The sequence below is a fragment of the Homo sapiens genome, chromosome 8, assembly GCF_000001405.40.
Source record: "Homo sapiens chromosome 8, GRCh38.p14 Primary Assembly".
Lineage (NCBI taxonomy): Eukaryota > Metazoa > Chordata > Mammalia > Primates > Hominidae > Homo > Homo sapiens.
This window is the reverse complement of record NC_000008.11, coordinates 14083298-14099717: the sequence shown is the minus strand read 5'-3', so window position 1 is coordinate 14099717 and position 16420 is coordinate 14083298. Positions and strand designations below refer to the sequence as shown.

At 36.2% G+C, this 16420-nt stretch overlaps 1 protein-coding gene across 4 annotated transcripts in view; it reads left to right on the top strand.

The window, feature by feature from the left end:
• The window catches only part of SGCZ (sarcoglycan zeta), a 1153587-nt gene extending 1138714 nt beyond the window's left edge, over positions 1 to 14873 (top strand). For all 4 annotated transcript variants that reach the window (NM_001322881.2, NM_001322879.2, NM_001322880.2 and 1 more), the window contains one exon: positions 9081 to 14873. In NM_001322881.2, coding sequence (NP_001309810.1) covers positions 9081 to 9275 — 195 coding nt within the window. In that variant the 3' untranslated portion in view covers positions 9276 to 14873. The remainder of the gene's footprint in view (positions 1 to 9080) is intronic.
• The last annotated feature ends 1547 nt before the right edge of the window (positions 14874 to 16420 follow it).

Sequence of the window (16420 nt, the reverse complement as noted above, 5' to 3'; positions counted from 1 at the left end):
GTCTCGCTCTTGTCGCCCAGGATGGAGTACATTGGCATGACCTTGGGTCACTGCAACCTCCACCCCCTGGGTTCAAGCGATTGTCCTGCCTCAGCCTCCCTAGTAGGTGGGATTACAGGCACCTGCCACCATTCCTGGCTAATATTTGTACTTTTAGAAGAGACAGGGTGTCGCCATGTTGGTCAGGCTTGTCTGGAACTCCTGACCTCGTGATCCTCCCGCCTCAGCCTCCCAAAGTGCAAGGATTACAGGCGTGAGCCACCGCACCTGACCAAAAACAATTTTTTGTTTTGTGAGTCCCGGGCCGGATTTCAACAGGTGACAGAAGGATAAGTGAATTCTTGGTAGAGGAAAGACACTGGACTGTGACTTAAGAGCTCAGGGATGTGATTGAGATCAGGGAAGAGTTTCAGAACCAGTGGATTATATGGTTTATAAGACAATATTGAAGAGCCATATCAATTTTAGAAGTCGGAAAGTGAACAGCGTCACTGCCTTGGCAGAACAGAAAAAGATATGCTCAAGTTCATCCATGCTGCACAAATCTAGGTAGGTGCAGGAATGCTATGTTGGAAAGAATCAATATATAGCAGCCCCTTTAATCTTATGACTTATACCTCTATCTCAAGCCAATATCATTTTCTCTAAGTACTCCATATGAATCAATTTATCTATTATAAAAAATGACTTTTTATATGGGTGGAGCTATGGTTTGGATCTCAGAAACTTATGGAATTTTAAGCACTGTAATATAGCCGAATACAATCTAAAGCAGCCCCTAAATGGATGGGAGAACCAGAGAACACCATTATGGCTATGCTGAAGCAAGCCACTCATCATAAGGCTTGAGTACTTCAAGGTTTACTCCATTGATGAGGCCTCCATAGCTCATGCTTGATTCTAAGGCTGTCACCTGCAATCCTTACTTACTCTTACAGTCATCTGATCAATCCCACATGAGCCCTCTTCTCCACATCTCCATTAGATTTTCATATCCCCCTCCTTAATTGTGTTATGTCTCAAGGTTTGTTATCCAAAACACCAGCTTTTAATATTTCTTCAAGGTGAACTCAACTCCCAGCCTGTAGACTTAAACACCACAGTCTCAGAGTTTGCCCCTAGAATACTTTTGGCATTTTCAGAGCTTGAGGATGCCTTTCCTCTGCACACATGCTAGCTCCTGAAAAGGTGTAAGGAAAAGGGACTGAACTACACAAGCCCACTTCCTCTTCCACTCAACCAATAAAAGGAATCATCTCTCATTCCCTGGGGAGAAGAGAGCCACAAGTGTATCACAAGCAAGAAGAAATGAGACCCAACATCCATACCCCCAAAATGTATTGCCTTGGGTTTTTGTTGTTGTTTGCTTAGTTTTGTGCACTTCTTGCTTTCACATCAGAAAAACAAATCTTAAAAAAATAGAACAAATTCATTTCTTTCTCTTTGCTTTCCTGTCACTTAACACAGAAGTAACTATGGGGTAATATATTTCAACATCTGACATCAATAAACACAAGCTGTAATCATGCTTTTTAACTTTGAATACTGTTGATAAATGCAGCCATTCATTTGTTTTATAATGTATTCATTTACTGAATAACTATTTGTGTTATGTAGAAGGTGTATCTACAGGGTTAAACATGGTAGGAATTACTAAAAATTCAATATGATTCTATCTTTGAGGAGGATGTATTTAGCAGGGAAAGTAAGGTGTGAAGATGGCTATAAAATACCACTTTAAGTGATCAGCAGAATAAGATATTTAAAATAAAAAACTGCAATGGGAGAGTCAAATAAAAAAGCAGGGGTTGCAATCCTAGTCTCTGATAAAACAGACTTTAAACTAACAGAGATCAAAAGAGACAAAGAAGGGCATTACATAATGGTAAAGAGATTAATGAAACAAGAAGATCTAAGTATCCTAAATATATATGCACCCAAAACAGGAGCACCCAGATTCATAAAGCAAGTCCTTAGAGACCTACAAAGAGACCTAGACTCCCACACAGTAATAGTGAGAGACTTTAACACCCCACTGTCAATATTAGTCAGATCAACAAGACAGAAAATTAACAAGGATATCCAGGACATGAACTCAGCTCTGGACAAAGGAGACCTAAGAAACATCTACAGAACTCTCCACCCCAAATCAACAGACTATACATTCTTCTTAGCACATTTCACTTATTCTAACAATGACCACATAATTGGAAGTAAAACACTCCTCAGCAAATGCAAAAGTATGGAAACCATCACAGTCTCTCAGACCACAGTGCAATCAAATTAGAACTCAGGATTAAGAAACTCACTCAAAATCACACAACCATATGGAAACTGAACAACCTGCTCCTGAATGACTACTGGGTAAATCACGAAGTGAAGGCAGAAAGAAAGATGTTCTTTGAAACCAATGAGAACAAAGACACAACATACCAGAATCTCTGGGACACACATAAAGCACTGTGTAGAGGGAAATTTATAGCACTAAATGCCCACAAGAGAAAGCAGGAAAGATCTAAAATCAACACCCTAACATCACAATTAAAAGAACCAGAGAAGCAAGAACAAACAAATTCAAAAGCTAGCAGAAGACAAGAAATGACTATGATCAGAGCAGAACTGAAGGAGATACACAAAAAAACTCTTCAAAAAATCAATGAATCCAGGAGGTGGTTTTTTGAAAAGATCAACAAAATAGACCGCTAGCCAGACTAATAAAGAAGGAAAGAGAGAAGAATCAAATAGATGCAATAAAAAATGATGAAGGGGATATCACCACCGATCCCACAGTAATACAAACTACTAGAGAATAATATAAACACCTCTAAACAAATAAATTAGAAAATCTAGAAGAAATGGATAAATTCCTGGACACATACACCTTCCCAAGACTAAACCAGGAAGAAGTCGAATACCTAAATGAACCAATAACAAGTTCTGAAATTGAGGCAATAATTAATAGCCTACCAACCAAAAAAAGTTCTGGACCAGACAGATACAAAGCTGAATTCTACCAGAGGTACAAAGAAGAGCTGGTACCATCCCTCTTGAAACTATTCCAATCAATAGAAAAAGAGGGAATCCTCCCTAACTCACTTTATGAGTCCAGCATCATCCTGATACCAAAACCTGGCAGAGACACAACAAAAAAAGAAAATTTTAGGCCAACATCCCTGATGAACATCGATTCGAAAATCCTCATACAATACTGGCAAACCGAATCCAGCAGCACAACAAAAAGCTTATCCACCACGATCAAGTTGGCTTCATCCCTGGGATGCAAGGCTGGTTCAACATATCCAAATCAATATATGTAATCAATCAATCACATAACCGTGGTTTTTGTCATTGGTTCTGTTTATCTCAATAGATGCAGGAAAGGCCTTCAACAAAATTCAACACCCCTTCATGCTAAAAACTCTCAATAAACTACATATTGATGGGATGTATCTCAAAATAATATGAGCAATTTATGGCAAACCCACAGCAAATGTCATAAGGAATGGGCAAAAACTGGAAGCATTCCCTTTGAAAACTGGCACAAGACAAGGATGCCCTCTCTTCCCACCCCATTCAACATAGTATTGGAAGATCTGGCTAGGGCAGTCAGGAAAAAGAAAGAAATAAAGAGTTTTCAATTAAGAATACAGGAAGGCAAATTGTCTCTGTTTGCAGATGACATGATTGTATATTTAGAAAACCCCATCATCTCAACCCAAAATCTCCTTAAGCTGATAAGCAACTTCAGCAAAGTCTCAGGTTACAAAATCAATGTGCAAAAATCACAAGCATAATTATACACCAATAACAGACAAACAGGGAGTCAAATCATGAGTCAACTCCCACTCACAAGTGCTACAAAGAGAATGAAATACGTAGGAATAAAACTTACAAGGGATGTGAAGCACCTCTTCAAGGAGAACTACAAGCCACTGCTCAGGGAAATAAGAGAGGACACAAACAAATGGAAAAACATTCCATGCTCATGGATAAGAAGAAACATTATCGTGAAAATGGCCATACTACCCAAAGTAATTTATAGATTCAATGCTATCCCCATCAAGCTGCCATTGACATTCTTCACAGAATTGGAAAAAACTACTTTAAACTTCATATGGAAGCAAAAAAGAGCCTGCATAGCCAAGACAATCCTAAGCAAAAAGAACAAAGCTGCAGGCATCATGCTACATGTCTTCAAACTTTACTACAAGGCTACAGTAACCAAAACAGCATGGTACTGGTACCAAAACAGAACAGCGGCCTCAGAAATAACACCATACATCTACGACCATCTGAACTTTGACAAACCTGACAAAAACAAGCAATGGGAAAAGGATTCCCTATTTAATAAATGGTGTTGGGAAAACTGGCTAGCCATATGCAGAAAGCTGAAACTGGATCCCTTCCTTACACCTTATATGAAAACTAACTCAAGATGGATTAAAAACTTAAACATAATACCTAAACCGTAAAACCCTAGAAGAAAACTTAGGCAATGCCATTCTTGACATAGGCACGGGCAAAGACTTCACGATTAAAACACCAAAAGCAATGGCAACAGAAGCCAGTATTGACAAATAGGATCTAATTAAACTAAAGAGCTTCTTCAGAGCAAAAGAAACTATCATCAGAGTGAATAGGCAACCTGCAGAATGAGAGAAAATTTCTGCAATGTACCCATCTGACAAAGGGCTAATATCCAGAATCTAAAAAGAACTTAAAGTTACAAGAAAAAAAAACCATCAAAAAGTGGGCAAAGGATATGAACAGACACTTGTCCAAAGAAGATATTTATGCAGCCAACAAACACATGAAAAAAAGCTCTTCATCATTGGTCATTAGAGAAATGCAAATCAAAACCACAATGAGATACCATCTCACGCCAGTTAGAATGGTGATCATTAAAAAGTCAGGAAACAACAGATGCTGGTGAGGATGTGGAGAAATAGGAATGCTTTTACACTGTTGGTGGGAGTGTAAATTAGTTCAACCATTGTGGAAGACAGTGCGGAGATTCCTCAAGGATCTAGAACCAGGAATACCATTTGACCCATCAATCCCGTTACTGTGATTATACCCAAAAGATTATAAATCATTCTACTATAAAGATACATGCACACGTATGTTTACTGTGGCACTGTTCACAATAGCAGGGACTCGGAACCAACCCAAATGCCCATCAATGAATGACTCGATAAACAAAATATGGCACATATACACCACGGAATACTGTGCAGTCATAAAAAGGATGAGTTCATGTCCTTTGCGGGGACATGGATGATGCTGGAAACCATCATTCTCAGCAAACTAACACAAGAACAGAAAACCAAACACCACATGTACTCCTAATTGGGAGTTGAACAATGAGAATACATGGACACAGGGAGGGGAATATCACATCTGGGTCCTCTCTGGCATGGGGGGGCTAGGGGAGGGATAGCATTAGGACAAATACCTAAGTAGATGATGCGTTGATTGGTGCAGCAAACCACCATGGCACATGAATACCTATGTAACAAACCTGCATATTCTGCACACATACCCCAGAAATTAAAGTATAGTTAAAAAAATCTTTTTAAAAAAAGGGTTTTTCTATCTTGGGGCGTCAGGGAATGGTATATGGAAGAGAAAACAGATGAACTGGGCTTTGTTGGGAGGTGGGTTTGTAACTTAGAGGGGAGAGATGTGTTCAAGGTGAAGAAAAGGCATCATGTAATTCATGCACTTCACAATTCCATGCCCTATTCTATATGGATGAACCAAAGACAGGCCCTATCCTCATGGATCTTATTGTAAGTAGAAGAAACAAACAATGAATGAATACAAATGTAACATTACAAATGGATTTTTACTATAGAGAAAAGTATAACTGTTAATGAGAGAAGAAAGATTAGCATTATTTTAATAGAGTGTTTAGAAAAGTTATTTCCAAGGAGGTGACCTTTGGAGAATTGGAGCAAATTTGTTTGCATCCAAATTGACCTAAAATATATATACTTATGATATATGAATTCTTTTTCTGGCTTAATTGTAGTGTGCAGTAGTCTTATGGTTCAGAAATTTAAAAAGCATCAAAAAAGTGGAAAGCTACCTCCCATCCATATTTCACAACCACCCAGTTAATATCTCCCCCCACTCATTAAATCTCTGGAGAAAAGTATTTCGGTTTGAGGAAATAGTAAAAATACTATGAGGCCATAGTGCTTTTGCTATTTTTGAGAAAATGCAAGAACTGGAGCAAGAGGAAGAATTACAGGAAATGATGTTAGAGAGATAGGCCAGATCTTGTAGGTAGGGCCTTTGGGCCATGGAAAGACATCAGGATCCAATTGAAGTGTGGGGGATGACATCAGAGTGTTTTGAGCAGTGTAGCAAGATTATTTGATTTGCGTTTCTTAAAAGTTCACTCTAGGAATATGTAAAGTCAATGACAGGAGGACAAAAATCGGCCACCAGGAGGCCAGATAGGGGACTATCACAGGAGTCCTAGTACAAAACAAATGGAATTTAGATGAGGGAGGGCAAAGAGAGAGAAAGCAGAATATTCTCTCCTACTCCTGTCAATTTAGGGATACCCTTCAGACAATCATAAGCTATATATCAGTGGAAACAAGAAACAGCTGGAGAGAGCTATTTCTTTGCTCAAATTCAAGATCCGTTTTTTTTCTTTTTCTGAAACTTTCTCCATGCATGTCAGAGCCATACGATCACTGTCTCTCAAAGTGGTGAGTCCATGATTTAGAATAAAGCATTTTCCAAGTTAGAAGATTTAGCAAAGTAGGTATTGAACATAGGTAATATGTTTCATGGAGACTTCAAATCTAATTATAGACAATAATTATATATTGTTCACTGTGCTGATTAGCTACTGTATTGGTTCATTTTTACATTGCCGACAAAGACATACCCGAGACTGGGTAATTTATAAAGAAAAAGACAATTAATGTATTCACACTTCCACGAGGCTGGGGAGGCCTCACCATCATGGCAGAAGGCAAAAGGCGCATCTTATGTGGTGGCAGGCAAGAGAGAAGGAGAGAACCAAGTGAAAGGGGTTTCCCCCTTATAAAACCATCAGATCTTGTCAGACTTGTTCACTACCCTGAGAACAGCATGGGGGAAACTGCCCCCATGATTTAACTATCTCCCACTGGGTCCCTCCCACAATACATGGGAATTATGGGGGTTACAATTCAAGATGAGGTTTGGGTGGGGACACAGCCAAACCATATCAGCTACTTAGTATATCCTTTGGATTAAAAGTCCACACACTTTTATGAGTATTAAAAAATATGAAAATGGCCATACTGCCCAAAGTAATTTATAGATTCAATGATATCTCCATCAAGCTACTATTGACATTCTTCACACAACTGGAAAAAACTACTTTAAATTTCATATGGAACCAAAAAAGAGCCCACATAACCAAGACAATCCTAAGCAAAAAGAACAAAGCTGGAGGCATCACGCTACCTGATTTCAAACTATAATACAAGGCTACAGTAACCAAAACAGCATAGTCCTGGTACCAAAACTGATCTATAGACCAATGGAACAGAACAGAGGCCTCAGCAATAACACTAGATATCTACAACCATCTGAACTTTCACAAACTTGACAAAAACAAGCAATGGGGAAAGGATTCCCTATTTAATAAATGGTGTTGGGAAAACTGGCTAGCCATACGCAGAAAGCTGAACCTGGATCCCTTCCTTACACCTTATACAAAAACTAACTCAAGATGGATTAAAGACTTAAACATAAAACCTAAAACTGTAAAAACCCTAGAAGAAAACTTACTTAGGCAATGCCATTCAGGACATAGGCATGGGCAAAGACTTCATGACTAACACACCAAAAGCAGTGACGACAAATGGGATCTAATTAAACTAAAGTGCTTCTGCCCAGCAAAAGAAACTATCATCAGAGTGAACAGGCAACCTACAGAATGGCAGAAAATTTTTGCAATCTGTCCATCTGACAAACGGTTAATATCCAGAACCTACAAAGAACTTAAACAAACAAATTTACAGGAAAAAAGCAAACAATTCCATCAAAAAGTGGGTGAAGAATATGAACAGACATTTCTCAAAAGAAGATATTTATGCAGCCAACAGACACATGAAAAAATGCTCATCATCACTGGTCATTAGAGAAATGCATATCAAATCCACAATGGGATACCATCTCAGGCCAGTTAGAATGGCAGTCATTCAAAAGTCAGGAAACAACAGATGCTGGGGAGGATGTGGAGAAATACACTGTTGGTGGGAGTGTAAATTGGTTAAACCATTGTGGAAGACAGTGAAGACATTCCTCATGGATCTAGAACTAGAAATACCATTTGACCCAGCAATCCCATTTGTGGGTATATACCCAAAGGATTATAAATCATTCTACTATAAAGACACATGCACACTTAAGTTTATTGCGGCACTCTTCACAATAGCAGGGATTTGGGACCAACCCAAATGTCCATCAATGACACACTAGATTAAAAAAATGTAGCACATATACACCATGGAATACTATGCAGCCATAAAAAAGGATGAGTTCATGTCCTTTGCAGGGACATGGATGAAGCTGGAAACCATGATTCTCAGCAAACTAAAACAAGAAAAGAAAACCAAACACTGCATGTTCTCACTTGTAAGTGGGAGGGGAACAATGAGAACACATGGACACAGGGCAGGGAACATCACACATCCGGGCCTGTCAGGGGGATGTGACGGGGAAATCTATGGGATTTTTTAAGAAATTAAATTGAGAGACTGTCAAAATCATTAATTTTCTGTGGTGTTTAAGTAACTGGGTTGGCCCCTTAAGCGTATTGTATGATGTTGCTTTTCAGATTGAGGGCTTTCTGTCAGAATGCACCATCTCCCAAAGGAGAAGATAGCTGCAGATATTTTGGACTCTACTGTAGGAATGTAATTTGTTTGTTCAACAAAGCATGGCAGCTAAACCATGGAATTGTTTGTTGTGTCGACTTCCTTATTAGACCATGTTGAGGAGGGATGTAGATTACTCGATGCTACATTTCTAAAATGAATTAAAATGCAATTTCTTTTTTCCCATAGATATTTTTAAATGCAGAGACAATCAAGCTGGGAAATCTACCAACTGGCTCCTTCTCATCTTCTTCACCCAGCTCCTCAAGTTCTCGACAGACAGTGTATGAACTCTGCGTCTGCCCCAATGGCAAACTTTACCTTTCTCCAGCAGGAGTAGGTTCCACTTGTCAGTCCAGTAGCAACATCTGCCTGTGGAGCTGAAGTGACTGATTTCTCCTCACACCAGAATAGCCTTTTGTTCCTGTCCGTCTGCTTCACAGTTCTGCTCGGTTTCCCTTGTGATCAGTCCAGAGCTTCTTCGAATGGTCCACAGAGCAACTTCCAGTGTGAGCAGGGATTCGCCACCACCTTCTCTTGTGATTTACTGTACTGCTCAACACAGAGGGTGTGATTGACACAGCAGTGGAAAAAGCGTCGTCAGCAGGAAAACTGGATCATGACTTTTGCTCGAAAGGGAGAATAACATAGGTGCCTTTGCTACGCGAAGTGAAGCACACAGTTTTAGATTTTTGCAGGACCTGGATATGAACTGCACATATATACATTACATAAATGAAATTCCCAGTATCCAATGGCAAGATGAAATGGTTAACCCTGTAAGAAAACTTATTCTACATTCTGAAAGCACAATTTTCCATTCATCTTTTTGGATGTAAACTTTTATCCCCGACTTTTAAAATTTTAAAGCATTATGTAATGCTTGCTTTACTAAAATTTAAATTCAATACATGGTTTTTAACAAAACAGAACAAAACAAAACAATACAGAATCTCTCCCTGAGTTTTCCTTCTGTTTCTTTAATTTCAATGTGCTGTTACTCTTTGTCTACTAAGTCTAGAATTTTGTACATCAGGTAATTTTGAAAGCACTCAGCAATATATCCTTTACAGAATTAACAAAATGCCATTATAATGTCATTGGTCAGATCTGGATGGCCTTATATAGTATTTACATGGCTACTGCATGTGACGTATTTGCTTTTAACAAAACATCTACTCTATTGCAATATAAGACAGGATTAAGAAGGATATGTTGATGGTATTAAATCCATAGATGATTTTTAAAAAATTCACATGCTATCCTTTACACCTAGGTTTTAATAGTATAATTTTTGTTTGCTCCACTCACTCTGCACTTGATTCTGACTGCTAAAATTCAAACATCTTCTAAATAAATAATACTAATATGATGCATAATGCTGAGAATAAATTCTCTTTCCATTGGGGTATCATCTTCAGAATTATTCTCCATCTATTTTTTATTGGAGGTTAAGATTTAAAGAAGTCAGAAGCTAACTAAAATTTCTTGACTAAACAGTAAAAATGACAAATGCTAATAAATATTGAAAATGTGTTTACTTCACTACATTCATATTTTAGGGAATTTAGTCCCATTTCTATTCAGCTGTTAACATATATTTACTTTTATTAGATCGTTGTTAGGCTACCCTGACCTCAAAAATTATAGTTCTTTTCATTTTCCAATGCTTATTTTTGTATATGACCTCTTAGTAAACAACTCCAGAATACTGAATATTCATTTATCACAGCACCCCTTAACTCAAACTCTTGAAACTTACAGAGTCAAAGAATGTAAAACTGTATTAAGTATTTCCTATTATGGGAAGATGACTTAATTACTATAAGGTAAGTCCTGAATTTTCACATGTCAATCAAACGTTTTTCTCCCTCATGCACACTATCAACATTTGTGTTGAAACTTCCTTTTGGGGATTAATGGCTGTAGAGTCTTTGGAGTTCAGGTGTCTACAGCTCAGAGTGAACTGGGAGATTAGAACTTGTTGCAAAAGATGTGGTTAGTGAAAGTAGAAATATTGGCAATGCAAGAAGAAAAGTGAAATATTTGACCAGAATTATCTTGTTTGCATAACCTAGCATATCAAATAACTGAAAAAGCTCATTTCCACTGTACTCAGCAGAAGGGTTCAAAGGCTAATTTATTACTGTTAAAATAAAATGTGATTATATTTGGGTGTTATTATATAACTTTTTAAATCAATATTGAAATAAGAATTTATGATATACGATTGCTTACAAAGTTATAACACAAGAGTTTAATTTATATTAAAATAAGAGAATTTAATATAAGAAATCTCACATTGGTCTTTGCAAAATAAAGTATAATACAAGAAATATTGAGAAATTATGTGTGCTAATCACTATATTATGGACTTTTAAGGAAAACATTATGTAGTAATTTAATTTAAGACATATTCAAGTTCTAATCATCCTTCCATTAAAACAATTAGAAACTTTCTAAGTCAAATGGGAATAATTCTTTTGATTAGGAACTGGCCCTGTTTCTAATCTCAGCTGTCTTCTACTAATCAATTGAGCTGTTTTAGGCAGTTCGAGAATCTCTCCAGGCTTCAGTTTACTCAACTTCACAGCAAAAGTATTGAATAAAATAGTCTCTTGGGGTTCCTTTCTGTTCCAACATGTTCTAATTTCAAGTTCTAATTCAAGTTCTAATTTCAAAATTACAAAAGGCAAAAGAGAAAAATGAAATTTTAAATTATATGTCATAAGAGGAGAAAAGATGAAAAAAAAAGTGAGAAAAAAAGATGTAAAAACCGATTCCAGTGAGGGACTGACACATTTTTAATTCAAATGCATTCTGAGAAGTATAGACATAATTCAAAAGTAACTTACAAGCTTGAGAGCTTTAGACTGTATCCAGATGATATAACAAATCGGTTCAGTACAGTAGAAAATATAGTGATAGCGATGGCTTTCCTATTCAACACCAAATAATTGCTTTAAGTTATCTGACTAGCTGTTTCAGATTTCTGAATCTAAGCCAAGATCCCTGCCTCAGAGAGATCAAGCCTATTGTGAAGGCTTAGAAGAATGGCCCCAAATGTCCTCGTTTTCCACATTCAAACACAAAAAAGCATTTTTTTTTTTTTAAAAATATAGTGGTCCCTTAATTGCACAGTACCCTAACAGATTATGTTTTCCCAGTACCATCTTTATGTTACAATATGTATAAATAAAATGCAGTTTACTTATATAAATTTCATCTTCCCCAAATGACACTGAGAAAAATGAGTCCTTTATAGTGTACTACATGGATGCGACTAAGCTATCTTATTACCCGTATCTTAATAACTTCATACTCAGTGTACGCCAGGAAGGAACAAACGGAAGAAGAAAAAGAGGTTGGTAGTTTTGCTAGCATTTAAGTTATTTGCCAGGAATGGATAAACCGAGATGTATCTGAATTCAGGTTTGGGGGATCACAAAAGGAAAGATGCAAAGAGGACACATTATTCTTTTCTTTTTCAGAAGATTTCAATTAAATACTTCAAAAAAAAACAGCAAGAACAACAAAAACTTCCAAATTTCCTACTTCCCTTGTTCAACATTTCCAAAATTTCTATCCGGTACTTACTTATTAGTCATACACACACATACACACATTTATGTCTAAAATATATATATTTTATTGTGAATGATATGTTTTATAATTTGGCACATAATTATTTATCTAAGAGTTTAAGACAATTATACACCTCAAATTTTACTGTAACTTAGGAATCTTAGATTACAGTACTTCAAATCTCGGAAAATGGAGCCAGCAATTCCAGTTCTAGTTCTGCCCCTGGCTAGTCATGTGAACTTACCTACTTAAGACATATATTTAATTACGTTGGTCACAGTTCACTTATCTGTGAGAGGGGTATATCAAACTAGACATTTCCTTTAGTCACATTCATTTTTAAGTTTTTCTGATTCAGTTAAGGAAGCACTCATAAATCTTAGGTTAAGTAGCCATATCTGAACTAGCATTTGTGATCTCCTTCTGCACCTTAAAAAGCTGCTTATAAAAGTTGAAATACAAACCTTTTTGGCACGCTACTTCCTATGCTCTTTTTTATACTCCCTTTTACACTCTTAACATTTGAACATTAAGGTTCCTTTGGAAAAATCATGCCTGGTTAACAGGATTCAGTAATATGGTTGACGTTAAAAAGGAAAATAATGCATTTGGATCTTATTCAAAATGACTGTTTAGGAAATTAATAGAAATATTAACCAAATATGAACATTCTGTGATTATTACCTCCATAAAGCTAAAAAGCAGTGATCTTTTGAAGAAATGATAATGTGATCACAGAGGTTAATTGCTGAACTGTTTTATTCCATTCAAAATTCCTACATATTCTATCGAATGACTCAATCAGAGAATGCCTCGTTTTACAAAAATAGCATTTGATACAATAAAACTCCTAATAAATTATTTCATTGCAAACATGGTATCTCTGTATGAGGCAGCAATAGCCTGGAGAGCGTCTAATGCATATGAGTGTTATATTTCATAGCAGAGAATGTCAACATAATAATGTTAAATTATTAAAATCATTGAAAGTATTTAATAGCCAAATTTTCTATAAAATCCTCAAAGCCAAATTCATATTTGAGTTTTATATGAGTGAGGTCTTGTCACCTAATTCTTCAAATAGCTGTGGTCTAATAAGAGTTGTTCATGTGATCATATTTAATGACATATGGAGAAATTATTTGCTCTATGTACTGGTGTATATTACAGTAATGAACACTACAAAATATCATTATCACAAAGGAAATTTGCATTTGTATTCATTTTAAATAATCATAAACTAATCAATAATTTAATTGAACACTGTTATTCATGTTGTTTTATACTGAAATTTATTAGTTGTTTAAATGTCAAAGACCAAAGAATGGGATTTCTATTGTATTTAACTCTAAAACACTGCTGCTCCTACTAATTTATTCAAATGAATAGGGGGGCTTATAATTATAACATGAGGTAGTAAACATCCTTCTTGGAGGATCCTGAGTTGTATAAATTAAGGAATGCTTTTGTTTCAGAAGGGAAACATCATTAGTGTGGTCCACTTTTCTTTTATACATGCATAACAAACTCCTTGGTATTCATAAAACCTATATGCAAAGACCGTATCCCAAAATGGGCCCAGCATGGATCTCCTCAGCTGAGTTTCAACTTTCACTGCTTGCTGAACACTATTTGGAGAATAAAATTTGAAATACTTGTAGAACCAGAGGGCTATTTTTTAATTGTTAACTGAGGTGGCTCTGCATTTTGAGAAAGCCAATGAAAACCATTAAAGGAAATGAGATATAATGAACTGTAGTTATTTTTTGTTTTTTTCAGTCTTAGTATCTCATTTGTTTGCGTATTTATAAATAAAAACCAAACAGGGTTAAAGATGGGCAAGGACATTCATTAACAATGGAGATATGTAATCTGGAGTTTGAGTGTCTCGTTATTTATACAATTCTTTAAATCAGGTCCACTATTCATTTATTTTGTTTTGTACTTTCATGTAAATGTTTTCTTGTATATATAGATATATGAAAAATGGAACTATTTTCTTACACATACTATGCAACATGTTTGTAAAATTGCAATATTACCAAAATTACAAAAGCTGTGCTTTTGTACTCTATCTTGCTTTATGTAAAATCACTTTTTCTATTTAAATGGACTGTCTGCCCTATAAACTGTAGATAACATATCTATTCAAAAATCAGTCTATTGTATCTTTTGTTTAGATGGAACTTAATTGGGGTATATTTTGGGGGAGAGAAAATGCAGCAAAGTTTTGGCAATTGGAAACCTTTTTTTCTCTGAAATGAGACCTTTTGAAGCATGCAATGAGCTCATATAATTTAAGATCTCTCCTGTGATTCTTGTAATTTGTCCTAATTTTGGTGCTACTATGTAACCATGATTAAATGTGATAGTCAAAACAAAGAGGATAAAAACTTACATGATATCATTTCATTTATTTTCTTGAGTTTTTAAAAATAGTTCAAAGAAGAGGGGTATGAGTATTAGTCAGTAGAGACCTTTTCAATTCTGTATTTTAAAAATCAGTTAAATTAAGATGTATGTTTTAAAAATATTAAGCTTAATCCATATATCTATACTGGATAAAATGCTTCTCTAATGAAAACCTGGGCACACTGTCCCTTTTAAATATATGACTAATAAAACTGAAGAATTTTAACGATAAAATCACCACAGTTTATCAAACAATTAGCTAATAGTTTATTCATTCTAGAGTCCCTCTGATTTGATTTTTGGGATAGGACAAAAAAAACTACTATGTGCACAAACTTATACCCCTACATATACATAATCAAACTACACACAAAAATACACATATATGCAATGGTAAATATAATACAATATATATACAATAATATAAACACATGCTAATCATTACTTATTTGATGTATTTCTTCATTTCCTTGTTACCTTATCTCTTAATCCAGGAGGACTTGAGGCAATGGCATGGACTTTGTTAACTTTTAGCAATATATCCAGTCCAATATTGTACATACCTTGTAAGTGACATTGTGCCACATTGTTTCCAAAACTAAGACAAAAACAGTATTCACGAGAAACCTTTTCCCCCCAAAGAGTCACTATTAGCTTTTTTCTTTGCTGTCGAAGCGTCTCTACACACTGTTCCAGATATTAGTTACAAAAACAAAAACAACCGTTTACATTCCTCATGCAGACTTCCTGATATTAAATCTAAACAGAACACAAATGAGTGCTTTCAGCTCAGGGAAGCATATCTATTCTATGACTTTAATTTCCAAGAAAGTTTTGGACGGTTCAGATATGTGTGCAAACAAATACTTGAATACTTATTTCCAGCAGATTCTTAGGCCATTTACCAACCATAGTAATGCCTGAATTTGGTAATCTCTTTCTCTTAATAGTGGGGCAAATAAGGAAAAAGCAGTTTTTTTCTATACCCACACTCAACACTGTGATCAGATGTGTAGTTTTTCCCCACAATAACCAATACTCCCATGCCAGCTGCATGTCCTACCGTTTAATTCCATTTCAATGCCAACTGAAATTAGCACTGATGCCATAGGTTAAGGGCTCATTGCCACACATTTCTCCCTTTTTCAGACCCCAGGCACAAGTGATAGGACCCCAGGTTACCCACAATTCCTGTCTGAACGGGCTACAAATCCCATGACCCCTTGGATTTGATAATTTACTAGACTGGCTCACAGAACTGAGGAAAACAGTTTATTTCCTACTGCTGATTTATTACAAAGAGTATTTTGAAAGATACAAATGAACAGCCAGATGAAAGGCATGTAAGCTGAGGGTTAAAAGGGTCCAGAGGGCAGGGAGTTGGGGCTTGTCACTCTCACAGCACATGGATGTGTTCATCAACCCAGAAGCTCTGAACCGCATAGTTTTGGAATTGTTATGGAGGCTTCATCACACAGGAATGATTAATTATATACTCCAATCCTCCCACCCCCACATCCTGCTAGAAATTG